Source organism: Homo sapiens, chromosome 16, assembly GCF_000001405.40.
Source record: "Homo sapiens chromosome 16, GRCh38.p14 Primary Assembly".
In the NCBI taxonomy this organism is placed as follows: domain Eukaryota; kingdom Metazoa; phylum Chordata; class Mammalia; order Primates; family Hominidae; genus Homo; species Homo sapiens.
Window position 1 is genome coordinate 25,057,170 of NC_000016.10, and position 13,396 is coordinate 25,070,565.

Sequence of the window (13,396 nt, forward strand, 5' to 3'; positions counted from 1 at the left end):
TATCATTAGGATGCTTTAGGCTGTTAACAGAAGCCTGACTCAAATTGGCTTAAAGGGTAAAAACACTTATTATCTCACAAAATATACGTTCAGAGATAGAGCAGTCCACAGGCCCAGAGCAGCTGAGCATGGCCTTCGGGATCCAGGTTCTTTTCATGACTCCTCAGTCGTCCTAAAGCTGGTTCTACTCATGATTGCAACAAGGCTTCCTGTGCTAATCAGGGTTTCAGCTCCCAGCCTTGAAACACAAAGCCTTAACTCCTTGTACTGTAGACCAGAATAGAGACAATTAAGGCTCCCATGGCATTTCCCAAGTTGTACACGTATTGTTCATTCGTTCCTGGTTTCCCCACTCTGACCTCTGTAAGGGGAGTAAGAGGACGGCACCTAATACAGAGTCAGGAGAAACACTTGGGTTAATTCATGCTGTTTGTCAAGTGTTTCTGAGTCTCCCTTCCCCTGGGCACAGGTCTTTTCATTTAGTGGAATTAACTGACTAGCTCTGGCCATGAGTTTGCAGAGTGAATAAATGGCTGCACATCTTTTGTATGAAGCATGAAGTGAGGTTATTTGCTATGTAGGGTCCTGAGAAGTGAACTAGCACTATGAGGAAAGGGAGTCAGAAGCCCACTGTGGGCAATGTAATGGGCGGTACGTGAACATAAAGATGAATGGATGGCTGCGTCTTCGCATGTGTAACGGGGCACTGAATGTGCACTTGGCCTTTCGAGGTGGATGGTTGGTTTTTGTCGAGTTCCTTGACCTGGTTCCTGATAACTTGGCAGCGGACCCTGGCCCGAACCTACTCAATCTCTACTCACCTTCCTCTTTTTTTCTCCCTTCCAGGCTTGCAGTAAGGTTGGGCTGCTGGCACGACCCTTACATCCACCACTTTGTGAGACTGTCTAAAGACAGGAAAGTCCCTGAAATCAACAGAGGTAAGTGACCATCTCCCTCCCCGAAAGCTCCTTATCAGCCAAGAGACCTGAAGTTTCAGGGGTTCATTCATGTTTTTTTTCCTCACTTTGTTACCCAGGCAGGAGTGAAGTTGTGTTCGAAATTGGTGGGTTCTTGGTCTCACCGACTTCAAGAATGAAGCCGCGGACCCTCGCAGTGAGTGTTACAGTTCTTAAAGGTGGCATGTCTGGAGTTTGTTCCTTCTGATGTTTGGATGTATTCGGAGTTTCTTCCTTCTGGTTGGGTTCGTGGTCTTGCTGGCTCAGCAGCGAAGCTGCAGACCTTCGCGGTGAGTGTTACAGCTCATAAAGGCAGTGTGGACCCAAATAGTGAGTACTAGCAGAATTTATTGCAAAGAGCAAAAAGAACAAAACTTCCACAGAGTAGAAGGAGACCCCAGCAAGCTGCTACTGCTAGTTCGGGCAGCCTGCTTTTATTCTCTTATCTGGCCCCACCCACATCCTGCTGATTGGTAGAGCCTAGGGGTCTGTTTTGACAGGGCGCTGATTGGTGCCTTTACAATCCCTGAGCTAGACATAAAGGTTCTCCAAGGCCCCACCAGAGTAGCTAGATACAGAGTGTCGATTGGTGCATTCACAAACCCTGAGCTAGACCAGGGTGCTGATTGGTGTGTTTACAAACCTTGAGCTAGATACAGAGTGCGGATTGGTGTATTTACAATCCCTGAGCTAGACATAAAGGTTCCCCCACGTCCCCACCACACTCAGGAGCACAGCTGGCTTCACCCAGTGGAGCCACCTGCCAGTCCCGTGCCGTGCGCCCGCACTTCTCAGCCTTTGGGTGGTCGATGGGACTGGGCGCCGTGGAGCAGGGGGTGGTGCTCGTCAGGGAGGCTCGGGCCGCACAGGAGCCCACGGAGGGAGTGGGAGGCTCAGGCATGGCGGGCTGCAGGTCCCGAGCCCTGCCCCGCGGGAAGGCAGCTAAGGCCCGGCGAGAAATGGAGCGCAGCGCCGGTGGGCCGGCACTGCTGGGGGACCCACTACACCCTCCGCAGCCGCTGGCCCTGGTGCTAAGCCCCTCATTGCCCGGGGCCCGCAGGGCCGGCCGGCTGCTCCGAGTGCGGGGCCCGCCAAGCCCACGCCCACCCGGAACTCCAGCTGGCCCGCAAGCACAGCGCGCAGCCCCGGTTCCCGCTCGCGCCTCTCCCTCCACACCTCCCTGCAAGCTGAGGGAGCCGGCTCCGGCCTTGGCCAGCCCAGAAAGGGGCTCCCACAGTGCAGTGGTGGGCTGAAGGGCTCCTCAAGTGCCGCTAAAGTGGGAGCCCAGGCAGAGGAGGCGCCGAGAGCGAGCGAGGGCTGTGAGGACTGCCAGCACACTGTCACCTCTCACAGTAGGGCAATCTCCGCTCACTGCAACCTCCACCTCCCAGGTTCAAGCGATTCTCCTGCCTCAGCCTCCCAAGCAGCTGGGATTACAGGCACACACCACCACGCCCAGCTCATTTTTTTTGTTTTGTTTTTTTGAGACGGAGTCTTGCTCTGTCGCCCAGGCTGGAATGCAGTGACACGATCTCTGCTCACTGCAAGCTCCGCCTCCCAGGTTCACGCCATTCTCCTGCCTCAGCCTCCCTAGTAGCTGGGACTGCAGGCACCCACCACCACGCCTGGCTAATTTTTTGTATTTTTCGTAGAGACGGGGTTTCACCATGTTAGCCAGGATGGTCTCAATCTCCTGACCTCATGATCCGCTCGCCTCAACCTCCCAAAGTGGCTACTTTTTTTTTTTTTTGTATTTTAGTAGAGATAGGGTTTCACCATGTTGGCCAGGCTGATCTCGAACTCCTGACCTCAAGTGATCCACCTGCCTCGGCCTCCCAAAGTGCTGGGATTACAGGCGTGAGCCACCGCGCCTGGCCCAGGTGTTCATTCTTGAAGGGAGTTGTGGCGTGCTCCCTTTCCAGCTGTGGCAAAACTGCTTATTTTCTCACCAACACAGTTTGTTATAAAACTTGTTAATCACCGGGCGCGGTGGCTCACGCCTGTAATCCCAGCACTTTGAGAGGCTGAGGCGGGTGGATCACCTGAGGTTGGGAGTTTGAGAACAGCCTGACCAACATGGAGAAACCTCGTCTCTACTAAAAATACGATCTGGGCGTGGTGGCACATGCCTGCAGTCCCAGCTATTCAGCGGGCTGAGGCAGGAAAATCGCTTGAACCCGTGAGGCAGAGGTTGAGGTGAGCCAAGATAGCACCATTGCACTTCAGCCTGGGCAACAAGAGCGAAACTGGGTCTTAAAAAAAAAAAAGAAAGGAAAACTTGTTAATCTTTTATATGAAAGATGGTATTTAATTGTAATTTTATTTTTTACTCTTCCTATTTATAGGTGGTTGAGCATCATTTTCGTGTGTTCGAAGCCCACTTACATCTTTTTACTCTGAACTGTCCATATCAGGAATTACTTTTTTCAGTTAAAAATACAAATAAAGCATTATTTTCCACACGTGTACTCCTATACTGATTGGATCAGTATGGAGAAGCTGCTTCATAATACTGGTATTTGGAGGAGAATCTCTTAGAATTTACGTTAGACTCTTCCTTTGTTTTGGTAGAGGGAGAAAGGGCTCTGTTTTGCCTATGGCTCATCTAGGTGTGTGGACTAATCATGTGGATTATTATTGTTATTTTTGAGATGGAGTTTCGCTCTTGTCCAGGCTGGAGTGCAGTGGCGTGATTTCAGCTTACTGCAACCACCGCCTCCAGGGTTCAAGCGATTATCCTGTCTCAGCCTCTAATCATGTGAATTTAATTGGGTTCTTCTATGAGGAGACTTTCCAGAGGCTTTTGTATATTTCAGGCTGAGCATATCTGAGTTTTCACACCTCGTCTGTGCTTCTGAACCTTCCCTAAGGATGGAGATTGAAGATTGCTGCCCAGCTGCACAGCTTGAGTGTTGCAATTTTAGAGGACAGGGTTTTCTACAGTTTTGTTGATATCTCTTACTGTGGAAGGAAGGGGAAGTGGTAATTCTCAGATGAGGGAGGTCTCAGAGGTGCTGACAGCAGTAAGCTTACCAGGCTCAGAAGATTTGGCTCTTAACATTCTGCAACAGAGTGGTATGAAGTGAGGCTGGGGAAGTAGACAGAGCAGGTGGGGCCCTGTAGACTATATAAGGAACTATGGTCTTTTTGTTTTTCTTTTCTTTTCTTTTCTTTCTTTCTTTCTTTTTTTTTTTTTTTTTTGAGGCAGGGTCTCACTGTGTCACCCAGGCTGGAGTGCAGTGGTGCGATCACAGCTCACTGCAGCCTCGACCTCCTGGGCTCAAGCAATCCTTCTGCCTCTTTTTGGTAGTGACAAGGTCTCACTATGTTGCCCAGGCTGGTCTTGAACTCCTGGCCTCAAGTGATCCTCCTGCCTCAGCCTCCTAAAGTGCTGGGATTACAGGTGTGAGTCACCACACCTGGCGACACTCTGGTCTTTTCCCAACAGCAACAGAAAGCAGTTGAGCTAGGGAGTGACAGGAGCAAACAGACCTTTTACAAACCTCTGGCTTCTGTGTGAGATATGGATTTGGGTAAAGTCAGAGTGATTGGGGGAGCTCACTTCACAGATACCAAAAGGAGAGGTGGAAGAAAAGTAGATTCCAGAAATACTTAGCGGATAAAATCAACATATTTGGGGGACTGATTGCATAAGGGGAAAGAAAAAGGGTAGTTCCAAGATGATGCCTACCTTTTTTACTTTTGAACTGAAGGAGCCATGGCACTGTTTGCTAAGTTGGGAGGTGGAGACAGCAGGGAGGAGATTGGGGAGGTGATCTTGAACACAGCTTTGGAAATAGTGAATCTGAGATAGTACTGAGACCCCCAAGTGGAGATGCCAGCTGGCAGCCTGATACAGTTTGGATCTGGGTCCTCACCAAATCTCATGTTGAAATGTAGTCCCCACTGTTTTTTTTTCTCTTTCTTTTCTGAGACGGAGTTTCTCACCCTGTCACCCAGGCTGGAGTGCAGTGGCCCGATCTTGGCTCACCACAACCTCCGTCTCCTGGGTTCAAGCGATTCTCCTGTCTCAGCCTCCCGAGTAGCTGGGATTACAGGCGCCCGCCACAATGCCTGGCTATTTTTTGTATTGTCTGTAGAGATGGGGTTTCACCATGTTGGCTGGGCTGGTCTCAAATTCCTGACCTCAGGTGATCCACTTGCCTCGGCCTCCCAAAGTGCTGGGATTACAGGCATGAGCCACCACGCCCAGCCTGTAGTCCCCAGTGTTGGAGGTGGAGCCTGGTAGAAAGTGGTTGGAATATGGGGGTGGATTTCTCATGAATGGTTTAGGACCATCCTCTTGGTGCTGTTCTGATAGTGAGTTCTCAGGAGTTCTGGTTGTTTAAAAGTGTGCAGCACCGTACCCCTTGCTTTCTGTGGCTCCTGCTCCCACCATGTGAGATGCCTTGCTCACCCTTTGCCATCCGTCGTGATTAGAAGCCTCCCAAGGCCTCACCAGAAGCAGAAGCTGCTATAATTCCTGTACAGCCAACAGAACTGTGAGCCATTTAAACATTTCTTCTTGGCTGGGCGTGGTGGCTCATGCCTGTAATTCCAGCACTTTGGGAGGCCGGGGGTGGGGGTGGGGGGTGGGGGTGGATCACCTAGGGTCAGGAGTTCGAGACCAGCCTGGCCAACATGGTGAAACCCTGTCTCTACTAAAAATACAAAAAATTAGCTGAGTGTGGTGGCGGGCACCTGTAATCCCAGCTACTTGGGAGGCTGAGGCAGGATAATCGCTTGAACCTGGGAAGCGGAGGTTGCAGTGAGCTGAGATTGCACCATTGCACTCCAGCCTGGGCAACAAGAGCGAAACTCTGTCTCAAAAACAACAACAACAACAAAACAAAACAAAAAACAAACCACACACACATTTCTTCTTTATAAATTACCCAGTCTCAGGTATTTCTTTTTAGCAGTGCAAGAATTAACTAATGCAAAGCCAGATACCAGGCTAGAGGGAACAGATGATGAAAGGTACAGTTTGTGTGTCAGGCAATGAAGTGCAGATTTTTCACTGGTAATTGATTGGGAATCAAAAGGTTTTAAGGAAGTTACAGGAAAAGATCTGTGATTCTGAAAAATCACCCTGGCCAAAGGTAGAATAAGGATGTGTTGCAATAGATCGGATGAGCGAGGACAGCAGGTGCAGGGGCTGTGGGTGTGGGAAAGAAAAGGAGGCTTCCCCTTTGTCACCAAGCCTTCTCCCACGCAGCTGCTGGGGATTTTTCTGAAATGCAAACCCAGGTCATGTCAGTTCCTCACTTCAAATCCCTCAGGATAAAACTTGTACTCAAAAAATAAATAAGATAATTTCACCTATTGCTTAACATAGAAAATGGGAGCCCTCAGAATGAGACTCCCTTAACTTCCCCCAAGAAACTTAACCATCCTTTTTCACTGTTACAGTTGTGAATGTCCTCCAGTAACGACCACCAGAAACACTCTGTAGTCAAGCAAGTTTGGTTTATTACTTGTTGCAAGGAGGGAAGACTCACACCATGAGGAACATATCAGTAAGAGGATGTTAGATCTTTATAATTTGGGCTTTGGCTGGGTGATTTGGGGGAGCTTCCACGATTCACTGTGTGAAAGCCTGTCCAGAAATCTCTCCTGCTACCCCTCCTGACCCTATATCAGGTTCACCTAACATGCAGTTCTACTGCAGACTCCATGCCTCTGCTCACGCTGTTTTCTTCTGCCGGGCAAACCCTTATCGATCTCTTTAAGGCTCACCTCCTCCACTGTGAAAAACAGAAAAGCAAAACTGACTTCTAGGAGCTTGCCTGGTGCTGTGAGCCAGGCCGTATGTTTTTGGAAGCTGGCTGGTGCCCACAACAAGGCCATGTTGTTCTCCTATTGGACATAAACAATCATGCAGACCACTCACACAAGGACACTCTGCAGTGGTGATGATAGGAGATGACACGAGACCACGTCATCATTCTGTGTAAGGACAAAAGCAAGGTCACTGTGCCACCCACAGAATACCAGACATTCCCTTCTCCCAGCTGATAGGAGTGACTGTGGCTTCTTTACACATTGTAGCTTTAGCCCTACTCCAGCCAAACCTCTTTCTAGAAAAGATACCGCTACCGGATGATAGAATTTTCCTACCTCCTATCAGCACTCGATCCAGAGCAAACCCCTGGACCCTCCCCCAAATCACCCAGCCAAAGCCCAGATCCTAAAGGTCTAACATCCTCTTACTGATAGGCTCCTCATGGTGTGAGTCTTCCCTCCTTGCAACAAGTAATAAACCCAACTTGCTTAACTACAAAGTGTTTCATGTGGTCTTTACTGGAGGACATTCACAACTGTAAGAGTAAAAAAGGATGGTTAAGTTTCTTGGGGAAGTTAAGGGAGTCTCATTCTGAGGGCTCCCATTTTCTATGTTAAGCAATAGGTGAAATTATCTTCTTTCTTTATTTTTTGAGATGAGGTCTCACTCTGTCACCCAGGCTGGAGCCCAGCAGCGTGAATATGGCTCAATGCAGCCTTGACCTCCTAGCCTCAAGTGGTCCTCCCACCTCAGCCTCCCATGGAACTGGGACCACAGGCTCTCATCACCATACCTGGCTAATTTATATATTTTTTTTGTAGAGATAGGGCCTTACCATCTTACCCAGGCTGGTCTCGAACCTCTGGCTCAAGCAATCCTCCCATCTTGGCCTCCCAAAGTGCTGGGATTACAGGCGTGAACCACTATGCCACAGTTGAGTTTAGAATGTTTATTTAAAATCTTGTGACACTGAACTCAATGACTAGTTCTCGGAAAACTTACTTTTTAATAGTGTATTGTGGTGTAAGGCCTGAAATTAGGATTCATATCAAATTCTGTCTTTACATCCATTTAAATCAAGAGGGCCTCAAATGGCTGAACTCCAAGCCTCGCTCCCTGTCTGCTTCCGCAGATGAAATTCTCTGGCTAAACACTCTCCTTATTTTAGGGATCAGACACAGAGCCTGCTTATCCCCAAACAGTAGGCTTCAGTTCCCTGCCAGCTCAAGGACGAATTATTCAGACAAGCCAGTCACACCCTCCCGTGGGAACCAGGGCTCACTCTGCACTTTTGTTACTACAAAGCCTGCCTCCAGCAGCCCCTCCTTGTTACCGTGTTCCGGAGTGTAGCCTCCACATTGCCCTGCATAGTGTGCAGGGTCCTTCTCCCCTGGACTGGAGTATCTGTGACCAGTCAGCTGCTGTTGATTGCATCCGTCCTGCATCAAGTGTTGTGTGTTCGGCCATCCCCGTATCTCTGGGGGTGGGGACAGGGGCGGGGGCAGGAGCGTGGGGGGAAGGAATCCCTCTTTCATCAATGGAGTAAAGAGTGTGAATAAAACGATTGGCATCACAAACAGTGTGGCCCATCCTTGATTGAGGACCCCTGGTTAGCTTTAACTAGCTGCTCCTTTACTAAGTAGCTGGTTTTGTTTGTTTGTTTATTTATTTATTTAGAGACGGAGTCTTGCTCTGTCTCCCGGGCTGGAGTGCAGTGGCGCGATCTCAGCTCACTGCAACCTCCTCCTCCCGGGTTCAAGCGATTCTCCTGCCCCAGCCTCCCAAGTAGCTAGGACTACAGGCGCCCACCACCACACCAGGCTAATTTTTGTATTTTTAGTAGAGACGGGGTTTCACCATACTGGCCAGGTTGGTCTTGAACTCCTAGACCTTGTGATCCACCCACTTCAGCCTCCCAAAGTGCTGGGATTACAGGAGTGAGCCACCGTGCCCGGCCTAAGTAGCTGGTTTTATAAGGCGGCCAGGACTATTGAGAACATCACTGCCAGTTGCTGGCCAGCTTGCCCTTCAGCTAATGAGTTTTGTTATCTCAGTAGGTGTTGCCACTTCTTCCCACCCTGACGAACGTTAATGGACTGTATCTCCTTGTGAGGTCCCATCAGGTGTGGCCCGTGTCGGCCAGGTGGTTTCCCAGGCTCCCACCTGGGGGCAGCAGCAACACGACATCCTAACGGGTGGGTGCCTGAGTTCCACTAGAGTGAGGCTAGACTCTGTGGTCTTTGGTCTAGCCTCATGACCATCGCTCCATCACCGGCTGCTTGGGACAGCCAGGCAGACACTGTTTGGGAAAGTGTTCCAGCATAGTCCTGTGGATAACCCTTTTTCCTTTCCCCAAACACCAGGGTTTTTGGAACCATCACCTGGGAAGATTTAGGAATGGCTCCCTGGTGGTCTCCTAACAGCCTAAAGACCCCATGGGCTTTTCTTGGCGGTGTTGCTTATCTGCATGCCAAAGGACCAATCCTGTGGGCAAGGGGCTCGATGGCCCCACCTGGACCCTAGACAAAATGAACGTACTAGGGGGATCCCAGCACTGAAGATTTGCCTGGCCTTCCTGGGGGAGCAGTATGGCCGCCCACGGAGCCGGCTGCTGGTCTCCCTTTCCCATAACCTCCCGGAAGATCCACACCACGAATGATCTGATGGGGACAAAAACCCCGGGACTCGAGGGACCGTTGCGGCGGACCCTTAAAACACCTGGCAATCCCATTAAATTGAAACATGGTACATATTTTGCTCTTCTAGTTTTGGCTAATACGTTCTATTTAAAGGGTCTCCCAGCCACAGTTTGCCAGCGGGCAGGCGGCGCCGCAGGAAGTGACCGGGCAAGAACGGGGGTCGCCGCCCAGCTCGGCCTTCTGGTCTCTGCGCCCTCGGCCTGGGGCTCCAGGCCACAAGGGGAGGCCGTGCTGGGCGGGCCCGAAGGGGGTGGGCGGGGCCCCGGAAGAGACGTGGGGGCGGGGCCAACGGACCGCGGAGGCGGAGCCGCTACAGTCTGGGCGCTGGAGCGGTGGGAGCAGCGCTCGTCCGCCGTTGGGGCCCCCAGCCCGCGCGCGTGAAGCAGCTAGCCGACCAAGCCCCGGAAGGCGAGTGCCGGAGGGGGCGGGACAGCTCCTCCGGGGCCAGCGGGCACCAGGCTTGGGGGCTGAGGCCCAGCGGCCCGAGACCAACTGGGCTGACCGAGGCCGCCTCCCCGCCAGCCCTGGGGTCCACTGCCCGGGGAGCAGCTCCCTTCCCAGGTCAGACTCGGGCTTCATCCTCTCTTGCCGCGCGCCGAGCGGTTTTCAACTCTCACTGCTAGAATTCCTCCAACCACCCAGGATAGCAGGACCGAGATACATGGCCACCCATGACCCGGAGCGTCCACTTCCAGGGACAGGCAGTGGTGATTGGCTTCGGTTGTCATCTGTGCCATCTGTCCATGGTTCGAGAAGCTGCTGTTCACGTTTTGGGGAGGATCATGGTTTGAGGGCTCCCGTGGTAGAATTTGGGGAGCTCTCATAGGCAGAAGGCTGAGAAAAGTTGGTGCTGTGGGAAGTCAACTGGCAGCCGATGGAGTCGGGACCCGGGAGGAATGGAAAGGGAACCCAGATAGGAAGCTACTGCAGTAGGCTCAGAGAGGTGATGACGGCAGGGCTAAGACAGCGGCCTTGGGCGGTGACTGGGAAGAACGTTGAACACCGTGTTTGGGCTGAAGAAAAGAGCAAGGGAAGAGGTGAGGAACTTCAGGTGAGGGTTGATGTAGATGTTACTTACACAGGTAACAGACATTCTTCACCTTTTCATTGTTTTACAATGATTCATTCTCTCTCTCTCTAACATATAATTGTGATATTTTCACCTGTAGTCCCAGCTGCTCTGGAGTTTGAGGCAGGAGGATGGCTTGAACCCAAGAGGTGGAGGCTGAAGTGAGCCAAGATCGCGCCACTGCACTCCAGCCTGGGCGACAGGGCAAAACCCTGTCTCTAAAAAGAACTTTTTAAAAAAGCACCTGTAGATTTAAGCACATAATAACTACACTTTTGTCTGTTTTATTATGATATCAAAGTTAAATTTATGATGAATGACTAACTGGACAAAACTGAGAGCAACCACCACAGAGGTGAATATACTGAATGTATAACACTCTCTAATAATTTTAAGAACTCCGCTCTAATGAGCAGATATCACAGAAAGAGACTTTTCAGATGAAATACCGATGACCAGGAAATCTGTGAGACCATTTTAAAAAATTCGAAGTCATTGAAGAAATGCAAAGCTTCCAGGCTCCACTTTTCACTGATGAAATTGGCAGAGTTTGGGACAATGAGATGTTGCTGTCCCGGGAGTGCGGATGGGGCTGTGTCCTGTGATGGCGGTGGGCACTGGCACTCTTGTCCAGAAAGACATTCACCACTGTGGTTCAAGAAGCACCTCAAAGGTCTTCACCTTGGTCCCTTGTCCACCTCTGCCCGCGGTCTCTCCTCCTTTCAGCCTCCTCTTTCCCACACAGTCCCTCCCGCCCTGGCTTGGTCCCCTTTCTTCTGACTGGGTCAGGCATGTGGGTGACTCTTTGACTTCCAAGGCTCTGTCTACTTGGCTTTTTTCTTTCACCTGTTCTGCAGAATAACAGCCTGATTCGTTCCTCTTTTTGGGTCCTTCACTTCCATACCTGGGATTCGGGGCGTGGCCCAGAAAGACCCTGCAGTCTTGCAGTGTGGGGCTGCCAGCATTTCATGGCCTCCAAGCTCAGCTGGGCTGAATGAACGCTGCCATCCAGCGCTTGGCTCATTTTCTGTCCCATTTTCCTGAGTGCTTTTGCCAGACTTACACTTTTCTGAAAGCTACTCCACCCTACCCCAGACACACCCTCTCTCCTCGGATGACCTGCCTCCTAATTTCCTGAGAAAACTGGACATGGCCACCTTTCCCCAGTGTCTGAGGCCCAGGTTGACCCGTGGTCATGGTCGCTGTCACCACCCACCTGCCTGTATGACAGAGTGAGACCCTGTCTCAAAAAAAAATAAAAAGAATGCCTCATGTTAGGCTGGGTGTAGTGGCTTATGCCTGCAATCCCAGCACTTTGGGAGGCTGAGGCAGGAGGATAGTTTGAGCCCAGGAGTTCAAGGTCAACCTGGGCAAGAGAGGGAGACCCTGTCTCTACAGTTAATTTTTAAAAATTAAGGCAGGGCATGATGGCTCGTGCACGTAATCCCAGCACTTTGGGAGGCTGAGTCAGGACGATTGCATGAGCCCAGGAATTCAAGACCAGCCTGGGCAATGTAGAGAGACCTCCATCTCTACAAAGAATTTTTAAAAATTAAGGCAAGGTATGGTGGCTGATGCCTGTAATCCCAGCACTTCGGGAGGATGAGGTAGGAGGATAGATTCAGCCCAGGAGTTGGAGGCTGCAGTGAGCCATAATCACACCACTGCACTCCAGCATGGGCAACAGCGTAAGACCCTATCTGAAAATACATAAATAAAAGAAAAAGTTAGCTAGGCGTGGTGGTGCATTCTTGTGGTCCCAACTACTCAGGAGGCTGAGGTGGGACAATCACCTGAGTATGGGAAGTCAAGGGTGCAGTGAGCCAAGATGGTGCCATTGCACTCCAGCTTCGGTGACAGAGAGCCAGACCTTGTCACCAAAAAAACGAAAAGTCTCCTGTGAAAAATGACAATTTCCAGTGGAACAGTTATGAGGAAGAGATGGGATCTGCCTGGGCTTTTTCAGTCTTTTGGACAATCCAAGATTCCTCTAGCTAATGACTTCACAGTTGGTAACAGCTTGTTAGCTTTATGGTGTTTCTTTAATGTTTGTTAAATGTTCCTGGGATATAGATACCAGATTACAATTCACACCAGCCGGGAGGGACAATGGAAATTTCTTTAGGAGGCTTGCAGATCCCTTGGACCTAGGGCACCCAACCTTTTGGGATATTTAGGAGAAAAAGGAGGGTTTTACTTCCGTCTTCCCTGGGGTTCCAGATGAATGTGTCATCTTGGCTAGTCATTTAGAGTCATCTTATGAACTCTAAATGAAACTGAAGTCACACCTTTAACATTACTTTAAGGAAGAATCACAGAAGCCAACCTTAAATCACTTAAAATGAGAATGAAACTTGAAGCAATAGATAGGAAGAACCATTATCTGGTCTGTCCTGCAATTATTGGAAGTGTTAAAGGAGATGAAGTTTACAATGGCTGGGAGTAATGACTCATGTCTCTATTCCTCATGCTTTGGGAGGCAGAGTGGGGAGGATCCCTTGAAGGAGTTTGAGGCTGCAGTGAGCTATGATTGTGCCGCTGCACTCCAGCCTGGGTGACAGAGCAAGACACTGTCCACATCAGAAGAGAGCCCAGCAGCTGCCCAGGCCCTGGTTGGTCCCCATGGATGTGGAGCTGTGGCAGGTCATGCAGAACCATGTGGATTGTGCCATCCAAGCCGGACCGTTCTTGGATTCCTCCATAGTGGAAATATGGTCGCTGACTTCTCCAATGGGGAAAACATTCTGTCTTCCCCCGATTCAGAGGTGAAACCTCCTTGCCATTCACACACTCTAGTTCAATGGTATCTACTCTGGCACTGCTAATCCTCCGGAAGACGCTGTTCAATCAAGTCTAAATCAGCCTTCCAGTAGTTTCCATCCATTGG

The 13,396-nt window shown here is 50.4% G+C and overlaps 1 long non-coding RNA gene and 1 pseudogene across 2 annotated transcripts, besides 1 other annotated feature; both read left to right on the forward strand.

The window, feature by feature from the left end:
* Positions 9,621–10,010: a silencer, noted in NCBI's record as "silent region_7294". NCBI's record gives its function as "represses an Ori minimal core promoter by ATAC-STARR-seq in GM12878 lymphoblastoid cells {active_cell/tissue: GM12878}" and the evidence as "EXISTENCE:reporter gene assay evidence [ECO:0000049][PMID:35858748]".
* LINC02175 (long intergenic non-protein coding RNA 2175) lies at positions 9,718–11,786 on the forward strand. Of its 2 annotated transcripts, none has more exons than NR_135196.1 (2): positions 9,718–10,491; positions 10,610–11,786. It is a non-coding gene; the product is annotated as a long intergenic non-protein coding RNA 2175 (long non-coding RNA). The 2 variants fall into 2 exon arrangements; NR_135197.1 differs by having other exon boundaries at positions 9,718–10,477.
* SCML2P2 (SCML2 pseudogene 2) lies at positions 12,403–13,132 on the forward strand (annotated as a pseudogene).